General features: G+C 50.5%; 2 protein-coding genes and 1 long non-coding RNA gene across 28 annotated transcripts in view, besides 1 other annotated feature; 2 read left to right on the plus strand and 1 right to left on the minus strand.

Annotated features, from left to right (window-relative positions):
- Positions 1-6,983: 6,983 nt before the first annotated feature.
- ZNF232 (zinc finger protein 232) lies at positions 6,984-24,366 on the minus strand. Of its 16 annotated transcripts, none has more exons than NM_001320953.2 (6): positions 24,227-24,366; positions 13,050-13,601; positions 12,326-12,469; positions 10,644-11,118; positions 10,176-10,302; positions 6,986-7,783 (listed from the first exon to the last, which is right to left on the minus strand). In NM_001320953.2, the coding sequence occupies exons 4-6, from the start codon at positions 11,058-11,060 to the stop codon at positions 7,074-7,076; spliced, it is 1,254 nt and encodes a 417-aa protein (NP_001307882.1). In that variant the 5' UTR covers positions 11,061-11,118; positions 12,326-12,469; positions 13,050-13,601; positions 24,227-24,366; the 3' UTR covers positions 6,986-7,073. The 16 variants fall into 16 exon arrangements, with proteins under 16 accessions (XP_047292624.1, XP_047292630.1, XP_047292625.1 ...); NM_001320954.2 differs by lacking the exon at positions 24,227-24,366 and adding an exon at positions 17,611-17,698 and having other exon boundaries at positions 13,050-13,524; XM_047436668.1 differs by lacking the exon at positions 12,326-12,469 and having other exon boundaries at positions 6,984-7,783; positions 13,050-13,524.
- On the plus strand, positions 13,185-15,632 carry ZNF232-AS1 (ZNF232 antisense RNA 1). 2 transcript variants are annotated; one of them, NR_135657.1, is made up of 3 exons: positions 13,185-13,368; positions 14,636-14,702; positions 15,408-15,632. It is a non-coding gene; the product is annotated as a ZNF232 antisense RNA 1 (long non-coding RNA). The 2 variants fall into 2 exon arrangements; NR_135658.1 differs by having other exon boundaries at positions 13,185-13,351.
- Positions 13,439-13,488: an enhancer, noted in NCBI's record as "active region_11566". NCBI's record gives its function as "activates an Ori minimal core promoter by ATAC-STARR-seq in GM12878 lymphoblastoid cells {active_cell/tissue: GM12878}" and the evidence as "EXISTENCE:reporter gene assay evidence [ECO:0000049][PMID:35858748]".
- The window catches only part of USP6 (ubiquitin specific peptidase 6), a 58,960-nt gene continuing 51,072 nt past the window's right edge, over positions 17,282-25,169 (plus strand). For 3 of the 10 annotated variants that reach the window (XM_011524050.2, XM_047437018.1, XM_011524055.3), the window contains exons 1-2: positions 21,596-22,038; positions 22,625-23,000. The gene's annotated coding sequence lies outside the window, so the exon portion shown is untranslated. Of the gene's footprint in view, positions 17,991-19,449; positions 19,541-21,576; positions 22,039-22,416; positions 22,509-22,624; positions 23,001-25,169 lie in introns of those variants that run through there. The other 7 variants (NM_001304284.2, XM_011524053.3, XM_011524051.3 and 4 more) reach the window with 7 other exon arrangements.

The raw sequence follows: 25,169 nt of genomic DNA on the forward strand, positions 1-25,169 counted from the left end.
GCTGAGAATGCCCCACTGCACTCCAGCCTGGGTGACAGAGTGAGACTCCGTCTCAAAAAAAAAAAAAAAAAAAAATTAAGAAAAAGAGAAGTATGGAAGTTATGAGTGTCAGAGACAGTGGAGTTGATCATTTGAGGCCTTTGGCTAAGAGGGACGGTGGTTATGTGCTGGGAGTGGGCAGAGGTCTGGGAGGCTTTCTGGCAGATTATCCAGAGAATCATCAAGAAAGGAGCAAATGCGGTCCAGGCGAGATGGCTCACGCCTGTAATCCCAGCACTTTCGGAGGCTGAGGCGGGTGGATTGCCTGAGGTCAGGAGTTTGAGACCAGCCTGGTCAACATGGTAAAACCCTGTCTCTACTAAAAGAACAAAAATTGGCCGGGCATGGTGGCACGCGCCTGTAATCCCAGCTACTCGGGAGGCTGAGGCAGGAGAATTGCTTGAACCTGGGAGGTGGAGGTTGCAGTGAGCCGAGATTGCGCCACTGCACTCCAGCCTGGGTGACACAGCGAGACTCTGTCTCAGGAAAAAAAAAAAAAAAATAGAAAAAGTAGAAAGAAAAGAGCAAATGCTTCTATGCCCTTTGTCAGCTGGGTATGTCGCGCATTCTCCAAGCTGGAATGTGGATGGGGGTGCGGAGGGATTTAGTTAGAGTAGGCACTATAAATCTAGGTTCCATTCCACTGACTCTGAAGGCAGGGGAATCCCAGGAGTGCCCTGAATGTGGGAAGGACCTGGGAGAGCTTCATGCCTTCAGGTGGAGGTGGGAGATTCCTCTGCATTCATGTTCACGCTGGTGAGAAACACTAGTATGTAGAGTGTGGGAAAGCCTTGAGATGGAATTCTCACCTTCGAGTTCATCAGGAAATTCACACTGGAGAGGACCTTTGAATGCCAGTGTGGGAAAGACCAGCCCAGTTCTCATCAACTTCAGCATCCGAGCATGCACAGTGCCCAGGGATATGGGGACTTACTCACTGTAGGACACTTTCATTGTGACATGAAACTTTGATCTTTCCTCTTCTTCACTGGGGGCAGTAATTTTGCTTTGCTCCTTGAGGACAGGGCTAACTTGTAGAATAGTGTTCACCCCAGGGTTGCCACTCAAAAATCAATAAATGAATGAATGAATAAGAGGCAACAAATGATGATCTGATTTTTCTGTGATGTGGGCAAGTACAGTGTTGAACAGGTGAACCAAAACCTTTCTTTAGTTGAGGGAATTTATCATACCATTTACTCAAAAACAAGATAGCCACAGGTTGCTTTAAACACATCCACGCCGGGCGCTGTGGCTCATGCCACTTTGGGAAGCTGAGGTGGGCAGATCACCTGAGGTCGGGAGTTCGAGACCAGCCTGACCAACATGGAGAAACCCCCGTCTCTACTAAAAATACAAAATTAGCCGGGCGAGGTGGCACATGCCTGTAATCTCAGCTACGCAGGAGGCTGAGGCAGAAGAATCGCTTGAACCCAGGAGGTGGAGGTTGCGGTGAGCCGACATTGTGCCATTGCACTCCAGCCTCAGCAACAAGGGCGAAACTCCATCTCAAAAAACAAACAAAAAAACACATCCCTATCAGCCGTGAAAAGCAAAGGAAGAAGAAATCAGATCTTTTGCCTGTATCCTCCTCAAAAATCTTTCTTTCATACTCCTCACCAGCCTCCTGTCCATCCTCCCCACGCTTTGGAAATTACAGCTCTCATCATACCCCTTACTTCTCAGGACGCTTTTCCCCACTCTCACCCTGCCCCTGGAGCCCATGGCATCCTGGGGGAAAAATCCTTTCTGTGGCATTCAAGACCCTTGACAACTGGTCCCAGAACCTCCCATCCCAGCACCGGCACCAGCACCATGCACGAGCCACCCTGATCTGCTTATACTCACATACACCCAGCACTTTGATGCCTCCTTGCCTTTACAGACTCCATCCCTCCTCCCAGGGCACCGCTGTCCATTTAACACCCACCCCCACCCTTCTTTACTTCTAGCTTCAAGGACCATTGCAAAGGGCTTGTCCTCTGAGGCCTTCCCTGACACTCCTCCAATCCCCTGGCAGTAGCAGTTTCCTCCCAAGGGCTCCTAAGGCCAAGGATTGATTCACAGTTGTTGACTTAGTCCATCTTCCCCACTAGACCGGGACCTCCCCAAGGGCAGACACTAGGTTTGAATCACCTTCGAGTCCCAGGCATTGTCCAGTCCAGGGCTGGGTCCAGAGGGAGACATTCTGTGAACACTTGTGCTGATCAGTCCTCAGTTGAACTGAGGGAACTACCTGCAGATCTCTGGAGCCCTGTGCGACTCTCTCCTCTCTGGTGCTCTTCTACCACATCCTCTCTGAATTCTCAAGTCTGTCTCCTCAACTCAGGGAGTCTGCTGGCTGTTTGGGTTCCTCCTTCTGGCACTGCAGCCTAGAAACTCACCCTATAGAAAGCTGGGCTGGGCCAGGCCAGGCGCGGTGCCTCACGCCTGTAATCCCAGCACTTTAAGAGGCCCAGGCAGGAGGATCACTTGAGCCCAGGAGTTCCAGACCAGCCTGGGCAACATGGCAAAACCCTGTCCCTACAAAAAATACAAATATCAGCCAGGTGTGGTGCTGTGCACCTGTAGTCCCAGCTACTTGGAAGTCTAGGAGGTCGAGGCCGCAGTGAACTATCAGCATGAGACCCTGTCTCAAAAAAAAAAAAAAAAAAGAAAAGAAAACTGGGCCAGTGCGAGGACTCCTCTCATTTGTTTCCCTTCCCTCAGGGCTCTTTCACATTGCCTGTTGCCCAGTTCTGAAAATTATTGTTTCATATATTTTATCTGGCTTTTTAATGTGGGATGGTAAATTCAGTCCCTGTTACTCCATCATGGTTTCATGGTTGGAAGCAGAAAAAAGAAATTTGTTTCTATTTTTTTTTTAACAGGGTCTCACTTTGTCACCCAGGCTAGAGTGCACTGGCGCAATCTCGGCTCACTGTAGCCTCCACCTCCCAGGTTCAACCAATCCTTTTCTGTCAGCCCCTCAAGTAGCTGGGATTACTGGTGTGTGCCACCATGCCTGGCGAATTTTTGTATTTTTTGTAGAGATGAGGTTTTGCCATGTTTCCCAGGCTGGTCTGGAACTTCTGAGCTCAAGTGATCCGCCTACCTCAGCCCCCCAAAATGCTAGGATTACAGGCGTGAGCAACTGCGCCCAGCCAGATTTGCTCATTTGATGTAAGGTTTATGTGTATGCCAATTCTGTGGCTGATGGAACTCTTTCAAGGCTTTCATTTTTTAAATAAAGACCTTCATTTCTCATTGTTCCATTAAGCAATTAAGGTGACAGCATTAATTTGAAGAATTAACAAGAATTAATTACATTTAATCTTTTTTTTTTTTTTTTTTTTTTTTTTTTGAGATGGAGTTTCGCTCTTGTTGTCCAGGCTGGAGAGCAGTGGCGTGATCTCGGCTCACTGCAACCTCCGCTTCCTGGGTTCAAGCGATTCTCCTGCCTCAGCCTCCTGAGTAGCTGGGATTACAGGCACCCGCCACCATACCCAGCTAATTTTTTGTAATTTTAGTAGAGACAGGGTTTCACCATGTTGGCCAGGCTGGTGTCAAACTCCTGAGCTCAGGTGATCCACCCACCTTGGCTTCCCAAAGTGCTGGGATTACAGGCATGAGCCACCATGCCCATTCAATTACATTTAATTTTAAATTTAATTAAATTTTGCATTGGTTCCTGGGCAGTAGAGACAGTCTCATCAGTGGGACCAAGCACTCATGTGTCTGGGAAGCAGTGGTGATTGGGACAGTGAGTTTGGCTTTCTCTGCTCCACAATTCAAGTTAGAAATGCAAAAGCCCCACTTTTCTTCCTTGCAGCTCTGAGTAAAGAGTACCGTGTGCACGGGCTTTGAAATCATATTTAGGTTCAGATCTTGGCTCTGGCACTTATCAATTATGTGGCCTTGGACAAACTATTTCATCTATTTTAGTCTTTTTCTTCATCCGTAACATTGCAACATAAAGCCTCCTTCTGAAGGTTAGTAGTACAGTTCAAACACCGCTTCAGTAATTTTCGGGTGCCTGGAAGAGGAAAGTGACTCCCTTAACCCTAAGCCCAAAGCTTCCCCATTTCCTTGTGCTCCCTGGTTTGCAGCTCTCCTCCCTCGCCCCCAGGGCTTACGGCCACACTGTCTGTAGGGCAGCTACTCTGCCACCTCTGGCCTCAGGGTCCTCTTGGGTGTGTACAGAGGCAGGTGCCTGAGAAAGGCCTGTAGAATGGGGCTCCTGGACAGAGCCTAAGGCTCTTGGTAGGAAAACTTAGAGCCATTTGCACTGTTTGGCTTGAAGCATAAACTGAGCTGGAGTCTAGAGGGAGGGTGGGCTGGTTTCTGCCTGGCAGTCAGATCTACCCCCAAAAGTCCTACTGATCTTGCCCCTTTCATACTTTCCAAATCTGTCTCCTCTTCTACATCCCCAAGGCCACTCCCTCAGTTTAGGTAGCCATATTACTTGGAGGTTACAAGTCTCCTAATAAGAGTCCGTTTTCAGTTTTCCACACTGCAGATGACGTGATCTTTCTGAAGTACACAACTGAGTAACTGACGGTGTCACTCCCTAGTAATGGCTCCCTACTGCTCTTAAATCCAAATCCCTTAGGTGGCTTAAAAGGCCTTGATATCTGCTACACTTCATCTCTCCAACCTCATCAAATGCATTTGTCCCTTGCACTCTATACAACAGGTACACTTAAAAAAAAATTTTTTTTTTTTTAATTTTTAGATAGGATTTTGCTATGTTGCCCAGGCTGGACGACCTTGGCCTCCAAGTAGCTGGGACTATACGTACCTGCTACTGTGCCTGGCTTGTGTTGGTAGATATTTATCAACTAGCTAATAGCTAGTTCAAAACCAAAAAGTCTCCCATTTGCTGCATATGCTGATTTCCATGGCGTGAATACTCCCACCATGGCTAACTTCAGTGCAGACTTGGGAAGGGATGCACAAAACTGGCTCTTGCCAGCCTGTACCGACCGGCTCTAGCACAACACTGGACTAGCCACACCCTATACAATAAGGTCTCAATTTCAATCTTGGTCAGGGGGGTGTGGACTCTTAGAAGTTTGCTTCTTGAGAATTCTCCCTCAGCCCTAGAGGTAGTAGTTGTTCCCTTTTCTGCTATTCCTGTATTTTTTGACGCAGAGTCTCACTCCATCACCCAGACTGGGGTGCAGTGGTGTGATCATGACTTACTGTAGCCTCAACCTCCCAGGCTCAGGTGATTCTCCCATCTCAGCCTCTCAAGTAGCTGGGACTATAGGCACGCACCACCATACCTGGCTAATTTTTTGTATCTTTTTGTAGACATGGGGTTTCACCATGTTGCTCAGGCTGGTCTTGAACTCCTGGGTTCAAGCCATTTACCCACCTTGGCCTCCCAAAGTGCTGGGATTACAGGAGTGAGCCATCATGCCTGGCCTATTCCTATATTCTTGTTTGAGAGGGAGTCTCACTCTGTCTCCCAGGCTGAAGTGCAGCAGCACGATCTTGGCTCACTGCTACCTCCACCTCCTTGGTTCAGGCAATTCTCCTACCTCAGCCACCCGAATAGCTGGGATTATAGGCGCGCACCACCATGCCCGGATAATTTTTTTTTTTTTTTGTATTTTTAGTAGAGACGGGGTTTCACCATGTTGGCCAGGCTGGTCTCAAACTCCTGACCTCAAGTGGTTCACCTGCCTCGGCCTCTCAACGTGTTCGGATTACAGGCGTGAGCCACCGTGCCCAGCCCCTATATTCTTTAGAGATCTCTTTACTCCCTTTAGCAGATAATCCCTTTTTACTAGTTAATACTTCTTTAAATTTTCTTCAAATTACTAGTGTGGTTTTTGTCCCCTGCCTGGACACTGGCAGATGTGACCCTGTCTGAGCCAGCAGACCCAAACTAGTGTTTGGGTCTGAGAAACGGCCGGAACTGGTCAGGCACTGCAGCTCATGCCTGTAATCCCTATACTTTGGAAGGCCAAGGCGGCAGGACTGCTTGAGGCCAGGAGTTTGGCACCAGCCTGGGCAACATAGTGAGACTCCATCTCTACCAAAAAAAAAAAAAAAAAAAAAAGGGAGCCAGACGAAAGACCCATTCACAATAAATACAAATATAACTAACACTTCCCGAGCAGCTGCTCAGTGCCAGGTGAAAAATTCTAACGAAGGCTGGGCGCGGTGGCTCACGTCTGTAATGCCAGCACTTTGGGAGGCCGAGGTGGGCGGATCATGAGGTCAGGTCAAGACCATCCTGGCTAACACGGTGAAACCCGTCTCTACCAAAAATACAAAAAAATTAGCCACGCGTGGTGGCACGCGCCTGTAGTCCCAGCTACTTGGGAGGCTGAGGCAGGAGAATGGCGTAAACCCGGGAGGCGGAGCTTGCAGTGAGCCGAGATCACGCCACTGTACTCCAGCCTGGGCTACAGAGCGAGACTCCATCTCCAAAAAAAAAAAAAAAAAATTCTAATGAAGTAGCCAGGCATGGTGGCTCAGGCCTGTAATCCCAGCACTTTGGGAGGCAGAGGTGGGCAGATCACGAGGTCAAGAGATCGAGAACAGCCTGACCAACATGGTGAAACCCCGTCTCTACTAAAAATATAAAAAATCAGCTGGGCATGGTGGCACATGCCCGTAGTCCCAGCTACTTGGGAGGCTGAGGCAGGAGGACTGCTTGAACCCGGGAGGTGGAGGTTGCAGTGAACTGAGATCGTGCCACTGCACTCTAGCCTGGCGACAGAGCAAGACTCCGTCTCAAACAACAACAACAACAAAATTCTAATGAGGTAGACATTATTGGTGGGCAAACTAGGCAGATCATGCTGGAAAGAAGCAAAACAACTTGGCTACTACTTGCATCCAAAGCATCCTAATTAATATCAGTATCTTCATCAGAGGACATGAAGGGATGATCTACAGGCAGAACTAAGTAAACAGTTTTTCCAAAATCAAGAAAGACACAGGAAAAATCTTAAGGAACTTATAACTTTTATGGGATCCAGTCCTAAAGTAGATTAGACCGATGTAGAATTCTGTCTGGAGACGTTCTCCCCTTCAATTCAATGGGAAGGCTCTTTTCTGGCATGAACTCTCCGATGTCTAATGAGCTCTGAGCACCATCCATAAGCTTTCCCACATTCTTTACATATAAAAGGTTTCTCTCCACTGTGAATTCTCCGATGCTGACTTAGATATGAGCTTTGACTAAAGGCCTTCCCACACTCATTACACTCATAGGGCTTCTCTCCTGAGTGAATCCTCTGATGCTGAACAAGATGAGCACCCCATCTGAAGGCCTTCCCACATTCATTACATTCGAAGGGTTTCTCTCCTGTATGAATTCTCTGATGCTGACCGAGGTTTGAGCTCTGTTTGAAAGTTTTCCCACAGTCACTACACTTATAGGGTTTCTCTCCAGAATGAACTCTCTGGTGGACAACAAGATGTGAGTTATAAATGAAGGTTTTACCACATTCACTACATTCATGGTCTTTCTTCCCTGTGGGAATTTCCTTATGGATGACAACCATCTGCCTGAAACTTTCCTCCTGGGCAGGGGACCACCTCAGTCTCTCCGCTTTGGGATTTCTCTGCTGCAGTTCTAAGGTACCCTCAGAGGTAGCTTCAAATGTAGAGGTGTCAGTAGCAAGTTTTTCTGAGAACACCTGTGATTCCACTTCAGTAATGGGTGGTTGTGGCAATGATCCTTTGTCCTTGGGCTCTGGGCCATCTTCTGTAACAACTGACAGAAAATGTAAATATACCTGTTCTGGATGTATGAAGAAATGACACTTAGATTAAAATGTATATTTCTGGAATGAAAACAAATGCTTAAAAACAACTATATATATGACAAACATTCGAAGAATATTTACTGGATATTGCCAACAGTTATCTCTTGGTGATGGGACTATACAGAGGAGAGGGTTTCTTCTTTTTAATTTCTCCCATTTATCTGCTTTTTTTCCCCTAATTTCTCCATAATGAAACACTAAAGAAGTTTTATTGAAAAAATGAAAGCAATTACAATGCATGGTCTTTTTAGGATTTTTCATATTTTCAAGGAATCAGGGAATGATGTTGTGAAGAAAGGGAAAAACATGAAAGAATCATTAGGGTTAAGGAAAAGGGAGGTTTCTAAAGGCAAAAAAAACTGTGCCCTTCCTGGCTCTGCAACCTTCACCTCTTCCCATCCGTTTCCCAGCTGCATCAATCTATAGCCTCTTTAGAGGACTCTCAACTAACTGCCTCCTTTATCAAAGGGAGGACTTCCAGCTCCCTGCCTCCTATCTGCTTGGTGCTCTCTGCCTTTCTCTTCCTTAAAAAGGGAAAAAGAGTGTGTTGCCGGGCGTGGTGGCTCACACCTGTAACCCCAGCACTTTGGGAGGCCAGGGCGGGTGGATCACGAGGTCAGGAGATCGAGACCATCCTGGCCAACACGGTGAAACCCCGTCTCTACTAAAAATACAGAAAATTAGCCGAGCATGATGGCGGGCGCCTGTAGTCCCAGCTACTCAGGAGGCTGAGGCAGGAGAATGGCGTGAACCCGGGAAGTGGAGCTTGCAGTGAGCCGAGATCACGCCACTGCACTCCAGCCTGGGCGACAGAGCGAGACTCCATCTCAAAAAGGAAAAAAAAAAAAAAAAAAAAAAAAAGAGTGTGTTGCCTTTTTGTTTTTAAATGTCCATAGCACATTTTATGTTTTATCTGTTGTAATGCTCCCTATAGCCTAAGGAGAACAGAAACCAATTGCTTTAAGATAACTCAAGGTCATTTGACTTTTTTTTTTTTTTTGACAGAGTCTTGCTCTGTTGCCCAGGCTGGAGTGTAGTGGCATGATCTTGGCTCACTGCAACCTCTGCTTCCCTGGTTCAAGTGATTCTCGTGCCTCAGCCTCCCCAGTAGCTGGGATTACAGGCGCGTATCACACCTGGCTAATTTTTGAATTTTTAGTAGAGACAGGGTTTCACCATGTTGGCCAGGCTGGTCTTGAACTCCTGACCCAAGTGATCCACCTGCCTTAGCCTCCCAAAGTGCTGGGATTATAGGCGTGAGCCACCGTGCCCAGCCAAGATCATTTGATTTTTTAAAAATTCATTTTTTCAGGTTAAATGCTGTGGTTAAAAAAATCTGAAATATGCTTGCTATATATAAAAAAAAAATCACACAATAGCTAGCTTCTTTTTGAGAGTAAAGTAATAAAATTGATAAATGAATAGAGGCTTACTAAACAGAAGTAAAGGAGACAAGAAAAAGTCTGGAAAAAAGTCAAGGAAGAAAGAAGAGCTAAGAAGTAGAAACATACTTTTGGGACAGAGTCTAATTAATCTCCATTTCTATTTTTTCCCATTTTGTAACTAAGAAGAATTTGATTTTTCAAATGCCTTGGTTTGGTGATAGTGATGGGGGGGCAGTTATGGTGTAAAAGCAAATATCAAGTAGACTCTTCTTGGTTAGCCGCATATTCACAATACGGTCACAAGGCTACAGAGGTCAACAAGGAGAGTTCACGCCCCTGAGGCTCTAAGTCTAGTGTTCGCCGCTGGGAGAGAGGAGAGGTTGTTTGCAGGTATGTATGCAGGCCAAGAAGGAAGTTTCTGTAGTGAATCTGAAGGGTAGAAGGTGAGGGCACACATAAGAGAGTTTCAGATAGGGCTGTTTACATGAGGAAGAGGTGGTAAAGGTGATGACAGGCTGTATCTCACATAGGAGTGCTTTATGGCTTAAAAAGTGTTTTGCGAGGCCTCAGCGAGTTTAAAAAAAAAAAAAGGATCTCAAGGCTGGCCTCTAGCTCAGGGCAGAGTTATTATAGACTAGGAGTTAAGTGCAGTGGAGATGATAAGGCATAAATGAATGAGCTATTTCCTGGTCCTGATTTAGGGCTCTCTAAAGTTAAGAGATGCTGGCCAGGCTTTATATCCAGATAAGACCCAAGTTGAGCTTAATCCTCAGAGCTATCTTATGAGGTAGTTTATTCTTACTCCTAATTTTATGAGTGATGAAACAGGCAAAGTCTCTCACCTAAGAGATAAGAATAGTAAGGCTGTGATGATACCAAACATTTAAGCACCTACTACTATTTACCCTTTACAGGTACTAGGTACTGTGCCCTTTATAGTCCCTCTTTCTCCTCTCCCTCCCCACAGAATCCTGCTCCTCACCACTCTTTGGGAAAGGCTGGGTCTCCTTAGGCTGGAGCTGGATGCTCAGTGCTTCCTGGGCTGCTCCCAGAGATTCCTTCTTCTCCCATGGCTCTTCCTGTGCAGGTCCATGTGCAGGGCCTGGGACCTGGAGGTGATCAGGCACCACTCAGTTTAAATTTTCTTCAAATTACTAGTGTGGTTTCTGTCCCCTGCCTGGACACTTGCAGATGTGACCCTCCTTGGACCAAAGCTTCCAAGGAGACTTTAGAGAGCCTCCTCAGAGTCAGCACAAGGGAAGAAGAGGAGCTAGAGTCTCTTTCTCATTCAGGGCTCGAGGGCAGAAAAGACAGACACAGAAACACATACTAACTGCTCTACCTGGCCCAAGAGAGGTTTGAACTTGGCACCTCCCCCTACAGCTGCCCCTCGGTCCAGCCTGAAGGTCATCAATCTGGCTCCCATAACAGACCAAATCCCCCTTCCCACCTGCGGCTCTGGTTCAAGTCCTTTCTCTAAATCCTCCAGCACAGTCACAGCCTCCTCTCCACTCTTAGGGTGATGTCCCCGCACCCAGGATTGGAGCTCCTCAGGCAGGATGGTCAAGAATTGTTCCAGCACCAGGAACTCCAGGATCTGCTCCTTCGTGTGTTTCTCTGGCCTCAGCCACTCACAGCAGAGTACTCGTAGTTGGCTCAAGGCCTCCCGGGGACCAGGAGTCTCCTGGTAGCGGAGATGCCTGAAGCGTTGGCGGAAGATCTCTTGACTGGTAGAGTGGTTCCCAGGTAGCCTGGTCTCATACTCACAAGACTGTTCCTCTTCCTTTGGTCCCATCATCATCATCTTCTCTTGTCCCTGTGTACCCTGAAGGGCCAGAGTTTCAGCTGCTGTTAGTGATACAGCCATCCTAGTCTGCACTAGCTCTGCAGAAGGCTCATACCAGCTGGAATCTTGCAAGGGCCCCCTGTAACATAAGAAGAAATCATTCCTCTTTTTTTTTTTTAAGACAGAGTCTTTCTCTGTTACCCAGGCTGGAGTGCAGTGACATGATCTCAGCTCACTGCAACCTCCACCCCCGGGGTTCTAGCGATTCTCCTACCTCAGCCTCCCAAGTAGCTGGGATTACAGGCGCCTGCCACCACATCCAGCTAATTTTTTTGTATTTTTAGTAGGGACGGGGTTTTGCCATATTGGCCAGGCTGGTCTTGAACTCCTGACCTCAGGTGACCCACCCACCTCGGCCTCCCAAAGTGGTAGGATTACAGGCATGAGCCACCGCGCCCGTCCTCCTCTTCTTTTTTCATTCATTAAACATATACATATACTCAACACTCCAAAGAGCCAAACCCTGTCCTATGCCCTGTAGTCCCGCTTTTTCTTCCACCCCTCCCCAGAATTCTGCTGCACTAAGTCAATGTTTTTGAGAAACTTGCACCGTGGTAGAAACGGGGATGTAAAGTGGTTTTCTATAATACAACTAATTAAATGCCATTGACAGGAAAAATGTATCAAGAAAAAAAAAGTTCTGGGGGCCTATGGGAAGAAATGACTATTGGAAGAAATAAGTTTGAAGCAAAACCCAAGTTTCCAGATGCAGAGCCCAGAGCCGAGCAGCTTTCAGTGCAAGGTGGAATGTGTTGGGGAGGCAGCCTCCTCTGAGATGGCTCCTCCCTGCTTTCAAAAATTTCTGAAGTAGTAGCTACAGCAAAAGAAAAATATAAGTCCCCTTTAAGGAGCTGGATCTCATTCAAATGCCAAAGCCCTATTAAGGGGCAGCTATGAACAAGTCTCGGGTACAGTGGCCTGCGTCAAGGAAATCTAACAGGTGTAAACCAAAAAAGCATCTGAGATAGGTCTCAACCAATTTAGGGGTTATTTTGCTAAGGTTGAGGATGCACCCAGGAAAAAGACACACAAGCCACAGTAGGATCCGTGGCTCGCACTTTTACCAAAGAGGGTTTTGAGGGCTTCAATTTAATGGGGAGAAAGCTGGCAGGAGGGGAAGGAGGAGAGAAGAGGGAGGGTATGTGGTGAGGTAAGTGGCCACATTCTTGTGAGGATTTGATTAGAGCTCACTGAATCCACATGTTGCACGTGAAAAGAGGAAGTCAATTATGAATTTGTCTCGTGCTCAGTAAATCTGCATTTTACACAAGATAAGGTAGACATACAGTAGAGGAAGAAGTCAAATATGCTTTGTCTCTGGGTGGGTGGAGGAACGATTTCTAGTCTTGTCCGGTGAAGCTCGGCTGTTCGTTTCCATTGCCAGGGTGAGGGAGGCCACCTGGGGGCATATGTTGCTTTCTATCTTGCAGCTATCGGTTTAGGAACAAAAGGAAAAGCAGTTTTTTTCCGTGACTCAGTTTCCAAGCTTAACTTTTCCCTTTGTCATAGTAAGTTTGGGGTCCTGAGATTTTATTTTCCTTTCACACAGGGAAGGAGGTGGAACGCATCAGAGGCCACGAAAGGAGCACAAAGGGGGACCGCTGGCCTAAGACAAAGGAGGCGCGAGGAAAAACGCGGAGCTCGCGTCTCCCAGGGTGATGCCCGGCGCCGCTGGCCCCAGCAAAACTTCTCTACCCCGGCCTCGGGCAGGTGCCCGCCCGGGGAGGGGGCTGTCGTCCAGGCCAGGTACAACTCCCCTTCCCACCCTTCACTCCCTACCCAAGGGTCTCGAGAAAAGAGAAGAGGAACATCAAGACCCCCCTCCACGGCACGTGACGCGACGCAACGCAGGTAGCGCAGCGCGGGCACCACGGGCAACCCAAACCCCTCTCCACACACAACCGCGGAGCTGCCTGCCAGGCCTGCTCACTGCAGAGCCGCCGCTGCCTGCGGGACGGGCAAAAGCCAAGCCGCCAGGTGGACCTCGGGGAAGCCGCCGCCAACACTCACCTCACAGGACCAGGAGGTTCCATCGGGGCGCTGCCGCGAATCGCGCCACTTACAGCCCTCACCCCAGGGGCAGGTTTGCGCCTGCGCAGGTCGCAGCCTCGGCCTCCAACTCCCAGAATCCTCCTCGCCGCCGGCTTCCGTTCGCGGACTTTGGCCCAGGCGCGTGGGCGCTGCCGAGAGGCTGGGAGCCCGGGAACCGGTTCCTGGACTTGAGCGGAGCGAGAAAGAGCGCGCCGCCTGCACGACTGGACTGGAGCGGCCGGGTGCCCTGGAGGCCCCTGGGAATTGCAGTCCTTGCGCAGGTGGAGAGTGAGCCCTTGTAAGCGGGTGACTTCATCAAGTTTGGGGGGTCTCTTGTGGAATTGTACCTGAAGGGCGGTGCTGGCGGACAGATGTCAGGGAAATTCTGGCCTTGTCCATGGCCTGTGGTAACACTTCTCCATGAGTTCTATTTTCCAATTACCTCTTCCCAGACCTGATGAGAGGGCCACAGCTAAGGAAGACGGTCCCTTCCACGAAAAAATATTCCCCAACCACTAGCCTGTACAATTCCTGGGGCGTAGGGGGAGGGGAGGAGAAAAAAGAATTCTAAGGTTAATTTTATTGCGATGGGGGAAATAGGGGTTGGTGTTTTTTTGTTGTTGTTATTTTTTATTTTATTTATTTATTTGAGACGGAGTCTTGCTCTGTCGCCCAGGCTGGAGTGCAGTGGCGCGATCTTGGCTCACTGCAAGCTCCGCCTCCCGGGTTCACGCCATTCTCCTGCCTCAGCCTCCTGAGTAGCTGGGACTAGAGGCGCCCGCCACCACGCCCGGCTAATTTTTTTTTTTTGGTAGGAGACACGGCGTTTCACCATATTAGCCAGGATGGTCTCGATCTCCTGACCTCGTGATCCGCCCGTCTCGGCCTCCCAAAGTGCTGGGTTTACAGGCGCCCGGCCGATTATTTTTTATTTTTTTTTTGAGACATGGTGGCCAACATGGTGAAACCCTGTCTCTATTAAAAATACAAAAAGGTTAGCTGGGCGTGGTGGCGGGCGCCTGTAGTCCCCACTACTCAGGAGGCAGGAGAATCGTTTGAACCCGGGAGGCAGAGGTTGCAATAAGCTGAGATTGTGCCACTGCACTCTAGCCTGGGCGACAGAGTGAGACTCCGTCTCAAAAAAAAAATTAATTAAAAATAAATTTATCTCACTATCAATTTTGCAGGATATTGATTGATCCAGTCTCTCAATACTTTTATAAAATAGCTTAATCCTAGTCTCTCCAAGAAAAATTGTTGTTCAACTGTGTAGTACCATAGTAACAGTTCTCAGATTCTCAGATTATTAAATTTGTTTCTCCAAGATATAGTATCCTTGAAAATGCGCATTGACACCCCCATGGCTGGGGGATATATTATCTTTTTTCCTTCAAAGTGCCATTGATAATTACTGCACGTAGGAGCTATGGATAAAAATAGTTATCATTTGTTGAATGTCTACTACGTGTCTAGAACTATGCCAGGAACTTAATGAAATTGTCTTATTTAGTCTTCACAGTTGCTCCACAAGGGATTGTATTAATGTCATTATCTTGATTTTACAGATGAGAAAACTCAAGACTCAGAAACAATAAAGGTTACAGAGATGAAATTGACAGAGCCTGAATTTCAGTATGTCAAACTTCAATGTGCCATTATACTTTTAAATCCTACAGAACAGATTGAATCACAACTTCTACTTTTACATGAGAGAAGACAATGGGTCCTATGACTTACTGTCAGTTTCCTTTTCCTGATTTAATTAGCTGCTTCTGTATCTAATTTTGCTAGGAATGGAGGAATAAGGCAAATTCCCTAAACTACATATTGACATTTATACTAATGTGAAAACCTCAAGTCCATTTGCAGACTTTTGGATTAGATTCTGTCCCAGAAAGACATCCACCCTAGAGTTCAGGATATCATACCCATTTTACTGTTCCCCTGGCACAATTCATAGTAAGGAAAAACAGACAAGGGGAAAGCTATTAGATTCTCGGTGCTGCTAAACAGGACACACAAGGACACCATTTTGTGATGATGATGGTGCTTTATGCAGCTTCCACCATTTACAAGATTTTCCTGTGGTGTGGAACCTCTCATGATAAAGCAAAGGAACTAGAAGCTTATTCCAGTCAAGATTTCTGATTTATCTTGTGGTAAGCATTTGGGAAGGACATATCTGCACATGACCTGAGACTAAGTACTATACACTGAATCAGATGAAAATTGCTCTTAGGAAGCTTACAATTTTCCAAATAGTTAGGACAAAAACAAACTCTCCTTCTCTCTTCCTATATGTACATACTGACATCTTTATCATTACTGTCTTCCTAGGGTTATGATTCTGTATGGTTTCTTTGGTGCTGCATTAGACCTGAGCTCTGATTGAAAATTCTTCCACGCTCGCTACATTCCAAAACTTTATCTCCAATATGAATTTCCAGATGCCTCACAAGGTCTGAGCTCCATCTGAAGGCTTTCCCATGCTTGTCACATTCATAGGGCTTTTCTCCACTATGAATTCTATGATGTCGAATAAAGTGTGAGCTCTGATTACAAGTCTTTGAACATTCATTGCATTCACAAAGTTTCTTTCCACTGTGAATTCTTTGATGCTGAATAAGTTGTGAGCTCCCCTTCAAATCTTTCCCACACCCAATGCATTTATAAGGCCTCTCTCTCACCTTGTATGGATTCTCTGATGTTCTGTAAGGACTGAGTTCTGGCCAGGCGCAGTGGCTCACGCCTGTAATCCCAGCACTTTGGGAAACCGAGGCGGGTGGATCAGCTGGGCTCAGGAGTTCGAGACCAGCCTGGCCAGCATGGTGAAAGCCCCTCTCTACTAAAAATACAAAAATTAGCCGGGTGTGGTGGTGGGTGCCTGTAATCCCAGCTAATTGGGAGGCTGGGGCTGGAGAATTACTTGAACCTGGGAGGTGGAGGTTGCAGTGAGCCGAGATCGGGCCACTGCACTCCAGCCTGGCAGCAGTGTGAGACTCCGTCCCAAAAAATAACAAACAAACAAAAAAGACACCAGAGGGCTTTGGGTCCCTCTCTCTCTGCCATGTGAGGACCCTGTGAGAAGGCAGCCAGGGAGCTCTCACCAGAACCTGACCATGTTGGGCCCTGGTCACAGCCTTGCAGCCTCCAAAACTGAGAAAATAAATTTCTGTTGTCTGGCATCCAGTCTATGGTATTTTGTTACGGCAGCCCGAGCTAAGACAGAGGAAAACTGGGGGCTGATGTGACGGCGGGGACTTTAGGTAGAAGGACCCCACGTCAAAAGTCAAAGCTAAAAATTCTGGAACGAGCCAGGAAGGCATCAGGACGTCTCATTTTATTTGCTAGAGGCATCTTTTGGGGGGTGGGGCGGTGGGTGGGTGGAAGGAGATGTGGCCAGTGAGCCTCTGACTTTTAATTGAGTTATTTCGAAACAAGGAACAGAGGGCCGGATGTGGTGGGTCGTGCCTGTAATTCCAGCACTTTGCGAGGCCGAGGCCAGTGGATCACCTGAGGTCAGGAGTTCAAGACCAGCCTGGCCAACATGGTGAAACCCTCTCTCTACTAAAAATACAAAATTAGCCTGGCGTGGTGGGGGGCGCCTGTAATCCCAGCTACTCGGGAGGCTGAGGCGGGACAACAGCTTTAACCCGGGAGGCGGAGGTTACAGTGAGCCGAGATGGCGCCACTGCACTCCGGCTTGGGCAACAGAGCAAGACTCCGTCTCCAAAAACACACACACACACACACACAAAACCCAAAACGGAACAGAGGCAGTTCTGTATTCCAGAGGGATTGATTTGTGATGCCTGCTCAAAACTCAAGAAGCCACCACCCTGATACTCATCAAACCCCGGAGAAATTTCGTTTTTAGAGTGTCAGAAGGCCCCATGAATAACCTTCCAGTCACTGAGGGAGGTCCCTACTCAGCACGCCCCGGTCTCCTTCACTCTCCTGCACTCGTGCCTCACAGATGGCCTCATGCGCGGACTGGCGGTCCAGCCTCCCGGGGACACAGCCCGGGCGCACCCCGCGCCGCCTTTGGCCACTGAGGCGGTCCTCGAGGCGCCGGGCTAGGGAAAGCCTCCCCGGCCGTCAAGGCTGGGATAGCGCCGGGGGATCGGGGCGGGGTGCGTGCGCCGAAAGGGCCTCAAAGCTGTAGGGCTGGACGGCACAAAGGGGCGCAAGGCACGGAGGCCAGGCAGAGGGGACAGCTAGCGGCGCGGCGGGACGGGCGGGCCCCGACGCCCAGCTCCAAATGCGTGGCCGCTGTGGGAGCTCGTCTCCAGGCGCCCATCAGTCTTCCCCTCACTCGACGCTACCTTGGCGGCCGCGCCCATGCTGTCCCCGCTCCAACTAGCAGTCAGGAGGGGCCGCGGGCAGCGCTCGAGACGCTCATTGAGAGGACTTCCCGCCTGCGGGCTCTCTGCTCGACGCCACTCCCGGCCCCGCTCCGGGCGGCCCCCCTCACCACTCCCGGCCCCGCTCCCGGCGGCCCGCCTCACCACTCCCGGCTTCCCGGGGCTTAGGCCCGCACCATCGAGTCGAACCGAGTCCTCATGTTTTCCTAGACAAGCCGCTGGGGGAGAGGGGAAACACTTCTGGCCCATGTGAGCCGCCGTCTCGTGTGGTGTCTGAGGGGCGTCTACCTGGAGTCACTGAGCCGACGAAAGGGAAAAGGCCAGTGCCTGTCCGGGAAGAGCTCAGCCTAGTGGGGCGGGCGACAAGTTACAGTTGCTGCCTTACGATGGCCGTGGCCCGTGGAGGCACTAGACCCTCACCAGGGGTCTGTCAGGAAAGGCGGGCAGATACGTGAGGCCTGAACAGGAAGGAACTGGGAGACCCAAGACTGTACCGCCAAGACCGCTTTCGAGTCGGGCCGACCGGAATTTGAATTCGTTTCTTCACTTACTAGTTGTGAGTCTTTGGGCAAATTTGCCTTTCTAGAGCGTAGTTTCTTATGTATAAAACAGGGTTAACAGTTGCACTCACTGAGGTAAATACAAGAGAAAATTGATGGTAAGTGCTTATCACGGTACCCAACACATAGCAAGTACTGAAAAGTGATGGAGCTAGGTACGGAGGGAGCAATCTTCACAGAGGGAACAGCTCGTGGAAAGGCCACAGGGCAAGAGGGCGGTGCCTACATTCTTGGGGAACTGCAGAGAGTTCATGGGTAAATAATAGGAAGGAAAGGTAAGTACTTTGCAGAAAGCCTTCCCCAGCTAGGTGAGACTCCCCACTGTAGTATCATATGCCTCTCCTTTTTGGCACTTATGGTTGCAACTTTATTAATGATTCTAATTAGTTTCTCTTCTACAATTATAAGTTCCATCAGGCCAGAGACTTGTCCATTTATGCTCACCCTGCTTTGTAGCACCCGCTGCTTAACACATATTAAAAGCTCGATAAGCCTGGGCGAGGGGGCTCAAGCCTCTAATCCCAGCACTTTGGGAGGCCGAGGCGGGTGGATCATGAGGTCAGGAGTTTGAGACCAGCCTGACCAACATGGTGAAACCCCCTCTCTACAAAAAATACAAAAATTAGCCGGGTGTGGAGGCACACACCTGTAATCCCAGCTACTCAGGAGGCTGAGGCAGGAGAATCACTTGAACCCGGGAGGCAAAGGTTGCAGTGAGCTGAGATTGCACCACTGCACTCCAGCCTGGGCGACAGAGCGAGACTCCGTCTCAAAAAAAAAAAAAAAAAGCTCAATAAATATTTACAGCACAAGTGAATAAATGGGGTCGCATCAGAATATATATGTCACAATAAGGACTTTGGACTTCAGGCTGAAGTTAGTGGGAAATCACTGTGGAAATTTAGAGAGGGGGATGGCACTATCAGATTTGTTCTGAAGGAAGAACATTCCAGCTGCCCTGTAGAGAAGCGTTGGAATCAGGGAGGCATGTTAGGAGGCTGCGATAATAGTACAAGCAAGAGATGATGGTGGCCTCACTCTAAGGGCATTAAAAATCAAGACAAGTGAGGCCGGGTGGGGTGGCTCACACCTGTAATCCCAGGACTTTGGGAGGCCAAGGCAGGCAGATCACCAGGAGTTTAAGACCAGGCTGGCTAACATGGTGTTAGCTGGGTGTACTGGCATGCACCTGTAATCCCAGCTCCTCCCAGCTCCTCAGGAGGCTGAGGCAGGAGAATCACTTGAACCTGGGAGGCGGAGATTGAAGTGGGCCGAGATCATGCCACTGCACTCTAGCCTGGGCAACAGAGTGGGACTCCGTCTCAAAAAAAAAAAAAAAATCAAGACAAGTGGACTATATTGGCAGATTACTGGCTAGCATTCACTTATTCTACCATAGTCATGTGCTCTCTCCCTCAGGGATGGTAGTGACAGTCTTATTTCCTATTGATACAGGATTTTTTTCCTTGATTCCTTCGTGGGACTCAAGACAGGGGTGCCCTGTTTACTCAGCCCACTGTGCTCAACCTCTTGCAGGAGTGTGCAGGTGAGTGAGCAAGTGCAGGATCTGGCTGGCCACTACAGGCACCAGCATGAGCAAGCTCTTTGCGGAGCCTGTGACCAGACCAGGCATGAGCAAACGACTGCAGGATCTAGCTGGCTGCTCTGGGCAGCTGCAGGAGCAAGCTCCATTTGGGGTCTGCGGTGCTGCCCAAGTGGGGGTGCCTGTGATCCCAAATCCCCAGAGGGAGTGTTACAGTGCTCTCTTAGCGCCACTGTTTGAGGATGGGTATGTGTTAACAGCTCAGCTGGCCCCTAGCCCCATTGCGTGGGGTGGCTACCTGCCACTGGTGAGGGCAAAGGGTGAGTGTGACAGCCTTTTGGGTAGCCAAACTTGGTGGGTCCCAAGCTCTTGTCTGGCATCCAAAAAGAATGAGGTTGTGTGGAGCACTTGAAGGATGGTGAAGGTGGAGAATTTTACAGAGTGATCACAGTGGCTCTCAGCGGAGAGGGGAGCTAGAGAGGGGGTAGAAAGGGCAGGTCATCTTCTCCCCAAAGTCTGGCCATTTCTTCCCGAAAGTCTGGCCATCTCTCTCATCTACTGACTGAGTCTGGGGTCTTTATAGGCACAGGATGAGGGTGGGGCAGCCATAGGTATTTTTGGAAAAGGCAACATTTGATTGGTAAGAAGACATTATTCAGAAAGAACCAATCGGGAGGGAGTAAGCAAACAGGAATAGAAGTTCTCACTTTGGGCTGTGGGTTTCAGGCTTTTCGGCTCAAAGATGGGGTTTCACTGGGGGCCTGCCACATCTGCTTAGAATTTCTCAACTTCATGTCCTGCCTCTATCACTATCAAGTATTTATATGAAGAAACCTCTCCTAAGCCACACTCCAATCACCCCTCTTCCTCAAAGAGATTATCAGACTCTGACTTTTTCTCAGTTTTGGTCCTCTTGGAGTTTGGTTCTTTAGCTGTTTAAAATCTTATGAAGGCAAACTTTGATCATTTAGGCTCTTTTCTCAAAGTTCCAAAGTAGACTGCTCCCTAACAGGTAGGTTTTATTTTGTGGAATTCAGGTTTACAAATTGGACATTACTACATTAGCTTCTGCTACCTATAAAAGCTTTGAATAGGTGGGCTTTTATTTCATGAATTACCTGATTATCTGAAAATTAACTCTTTTGTCCTTCTTCAGCCCCCACTAAAGTGAGGTCAGCTCAGGGAATGCAGCAGAAATTCACCTGGAAGCAAGCGAGGCTGGGGCCCAGAAACCCCCTGGGCTGGGCCATGCTTCCAGTCCAGTTCCCATCTTTTATGGATGCCTAGCCCTGACCCTCAGAGGACCCTGGGTGAGGCCTGGAGGAGCCCCTCTTCCCAAATAGACTTCATTTGTCCCTTGAGGCTCAGCTCACTGCAGTTAACTAACTAATGAGTAACTCAGTGTAAGAACACACAATGCTAATTATTATAATTAATTATAATAGTGATAGTCATTAAAACAAGGAACTTCTGCCCAGCACTACAAGTGACTCACAGCCATCATCTCAGCTGATAAACAGCTGGGAGAAAGATACTCTTTCTTCCTTTTGACCCGTGAAGAAACTGAAGCTCAGAGAGGTTAAGGGATTTATCTACGGCTGCACAGGGACCCCTCCTTCAGGTCTGTCGGACTTGTATCCACCCCACCTCTCTGCCCCCTCTCCTGCCTCTCCTTTCCAGAAGGTTCTAGGTCCCAGGAACTCCAAGGCTCAACCCAAGGATAGAGATCCAAGGTCCTGCCGGGGCAGTCAGGAGGCCTTACGTGCCCTCTCCTGTGGCTTCCTTCTCAGCCGAGTTCTGTGCTGCTCTAAGCTGGGGAAGCCTACTCCCCAAGAAGCAGGACACCCGGAAGGTGTTTCCCCCTGGCTTTGAGGCTGGTTATACATTGCTTTCCTCCAGCAGATTAACATTTGCTAATGGGGCCTGGCACGGTGACACCAACGTAGGGTTGCTCTCTGCATGCCTGTGCTGTGGGGTTGGTGGTGGGGGCAAGGCAGTGGTGGGGGCAAGGTCAGGGCAGTGAGTGAGGTCGCCTGTGGTCATCCTCCACTGTGCTGGGGGGTTGTTATCTCTCAGGGCTTAGCACTTGTTGGGGATGGGTGAAGTCCAGTCCCGAGTCACAGTGTGTGTTGTGGGAGGTTGCTGATATTCATAGCCCTGTATGTTTGAGTAATGACAATATCCACCTCCACCTTCAGGGTGAGGAGCTGTTGGCCTATCTGTGTCTGTCTGTCTGTCTGTCTGTCATCTGCACCTGTCTCTCCGAGGGAAAGAAGGCAGGCCCCAGGGTCTTTCCCCAGGATGGCCTTGGGTGAGCTCCTGCTGTCCTCTCTGCCCAGGAAATGAAGGCCCTTTGAGGTCAGGTGGATGAGGATGTCAGTGTGAAGATGGACACTGTGCCTGGAGTGAACCTGAGCTGGATCCTGAATGAGATGCATGACCAGGACAAGAAATTGGTGGAGAAGAGCTACAAGGATGCCAAGGGCTGTTTCTTCAGCATGGTGGGTGGCCATATGTAAGCAGGTGTGCACACATGTGGGCACATGTGCTGCATGCTGGTGCAGCTGGAACGCTGGCAGATCCACAGGCTGTCCCAGTTGGAAGGACTTTGGAAACCAGTTGGACCAGCCCCTCATGATTTCGATGTAAAATGTGAGGCTCAGAGAGGACTCAAGCTCACACAGCCCTTCACTGTGGCCTGCAAAATAGATCCAGGTCTCTACAAGTCTGGTCTTGGGTTTCCACCACAGCTGTTTACAGGATGTGTGTATTTGAGTACATACGCATACCCTTGGCAAGCACAGGCTGAGTGTCTCCAGTGTCCTAGGGACAGCAATAGGTGCAAAAGAATAACACCCAGTGCCTGTCTTTGAGGTGCCGCAGTTCGGTAGGGGTAAGAAATGCAAACAACCGCAGAGCAGGCTGAATTCCTCCAAGGTCCAACGTGGGTGCAGAGGGTCTTTGTGTGCAGGTGCCTTTGGGGCCCCATAGAGGCCAGGGAGGGGCTAGGATATGGTTCTCAGCCCCTTTCCTGTGCCCCACTTCTGAAAATCTCCTGAAACCCCTGTGGCCCACTCTGCCTTCCAGAGAGAGGGGCTGAACTGCGAGGTGGCCACCAACACAGAGGCCCTGCAGAGCGGCAGGATAGAGATATGGAGCTCTACATCTCTGTGCAGAACCTGAGCCATCCCAGCTCAGCAAGGTAGGGCCTCTGTCCCCTCCCCACCCTGTACCTATCACCCCAGGGTGAGCCCAGCCTTATAGACCCCTGCTTGGAGGTGTGTTACGGGACCCAACTGGCCCAGCTGCAGGGGCTCATCAGAAGCATGGAGCAGCAGCTGTGCGAGCTCTGCTGCGACGCGGAGCACCAGGACCATGAGCACCAGGTCCTTCTGGACGTGAAGACACGGCTGGAGCAGGAGATCGCCACCTACAGCCGCTTGCTAGAGGTTGAGGACGCTCAGTGAGTGTGCACCCGGGTACCTGCTGGGGCGGGCTGGGGGCCCACTTCACCTAGGAAGAAGTTGGTGTCTGAGCACCAGTGAAGTTCAGGAGGTGTGAATGTGGGAACCTGTGGGGGTTTGCAGGAGGTGAAACTGACAATGCAGGCTGGAGTCTGATTGAGGAGCCTTGAATGCCAAGTTAAAGCGTCTGGATTAGATCACGTAGGCAATGGGGAGCCATGGAGGGATTTGGAGCTGAAGAGGGGAATGAACATCAAGATATTTTAGAACATTCACTCTGGCTGCAGAGGGAGAAATGGATCAGAGGGGTCAGGGTGGGGCCAGAGAGATGTGTCAGGGGGCTGGAGCAGGGAGTGTGGCCAGAGAAGTCCTGCGGGGTGGAGGGTGGGTCGGTGGGGTGGCAGGGGAAGGAAGGTGGTGCACGCAGAAGAGAGGTTATAGCTCAAAACAGCAGGACTGGATGCCTGGATCTCAGGGTAAGCGTGACTCACAGTCAGGACTCAGTAAGTGTGGGGTGAACACATGAAGGAGTGGGCATTGATGGCCCTGGATTTCTGGTTCCGATGACTGTGTGAGTGGTGACACCATCAGCCACAGGGTGAAGAGCAAGGTGGGTGGTGGTCGGGTTTGCAGGTGGGAAGGGTGATCAGGCCTTCAGCTGGCAGTATCCTGGAGTCTCCATGCTTAGTCACACGTTGCAGCTTTTTGCTCCCCGAAAAGGTTTTTCCATCAAGGTTTTTCCAAAGGACAAGCGGCCCGGCGGTCCTCTTAGTTCCTTGGCCCGCGTGCCACCCGGGAGGCCGAACCGGCCCCAGCCCTGGGCCCCCTCCCCAGCCCAACCCAGCCCCGACCCTCCGCTGCGGGGCCCTCCCGGAACGGCCGGCTGCAACGCGTGTCTCCCCTGGACACAGCTCCGCCCTTCCCGGGAACAAAAGCAGCTGCCCGCGCCTAAGCTCCCACCCGGAGCCCAGCCCCGGAAATGGGACACCCGCAGCGGGTATCCCCAAACTTCCCACCTCTCAGGTCCGGTAGGGCGAGGGGTCGGGGCCGGTGGGTAGGGCGCGGAGAGCGCACTGAGCTCTTAGAGGTCTGTGGCCCCGCGGCGGGGGGTTATGCCAAGGAAGAACGCGACGACGCGAGGGGGAGGGACCGAGAGCACCCCGAAGCCGGGGACCGCCAAGCCGGAGCCAGTGGAGGGGGCGAAGTCGGCGAGTTGGAAACTTACTGCAATCGTCCTCTCGTAGCCTTGGGCGTCCGGCTCGTCTTCTGGCAGCTTGGTGGGCGGCTGCGCAGGGCTGGACCTGGGCTGGATCCTTAGGCTCCGAAGAGATGGGCCCCATCCTTGTCGTCGTCGCGGGCGCCGTCAGAGGGGCGGCGGCAGCGGCCGGCGCTGGCAGTGGCTGGGCGCGCGGGGGCGTCATGGGGCAGGTCCCGCGGGAAGTGGGGGAAGTAGCCAGAGATCTACTGGATGGGGCGGGTGGGGCTGGGGCACACGTCGGTGGCCACATGCTCCTGGATACAAATGGTCGCCTTTTCCCCGCACCGCCGGTGGGGGGGTGGTAGAGGCAGCGCCTCCCCGCCCGGGCACGGCCTGGCCCGGAGTGACCCCGGCCCGGGGGCGGCTCAGCAGGCCCGGCGTGGCGTGGCGTGGCGCGGCGGGGCCTCCGTGAAGGCCAGCGCCAGTGAGTGCCAGGGGCGGGCAGGCAGGGGGCCGGCCCAGCCCGCGTCACCCGGCAGCAAACACGCAGGGTGAGTGTGCGGGCTGCCCAGGCAGTGCAGAGCGGAGAGAGCTGCGTGGGGCCACACTCACTCGCACTCACACCGGGGGGGCACGCCGGCCTGGGACCCCGTGTGCGCACTCCCTGGGGACAAGCGGGGAGCCAGCAGGACAGGGACCCGCAGAACGCATACTCACACGTTCCTGCAGGTGCCAGCACATGCTGGGCTTCGTTCGCTCTCACGGGACACACGCAGGTGTGCAAGGACAATGCAAGTGCACGCACACGTGTGCAGACACGTAGTGGAAGCATCCACTGGCTCACACCTGTAGGACACACACACACACACAAACATGCACACATACAGAGTTGGTTGAGGATGCTGTTAACACCGTACACCCCCTAATGCATGCTCGCGCGCAAGCACGCACGTGCGCACACACACACACG

The sequence above is a fragment of the Homo sapiens genome, chromosome 17 (assembly GCF_000001405.40).
Source record: "Homo sapiens chromosome 17, GRCh38.p14 Primary Assembly".
In the NCBI taxonomy this organism is placed as follows: Eukaryota; Metazoa; Chordata; class Mammalia; order Primates; family Hominidae; genus Homo; species Homo sapiens.

Bases quoted from the DNA above. Each gene is read 5' to 3' on its own strand.
- ZNF232 (XM_047436668.1), bottom strand. From the start codon at position 13,072: ATGGAACCTCCTGGTCCTGTGAG. The intron at 11,119-13,049 runs GTGAGTGTTGGC...CTTATGTTACAG, and splicing joins GAACCTCCTGGTCCTGTGAG to GGGGCCCTTGCAAGATTCCA. The intron at 7,784-10,175 runs GTGAGGAGCAGG...TCATACATCCAG, and splicing joins CCAGCCTTTCCCAAAGAGTG to AACAGGTATATTTACATTTT.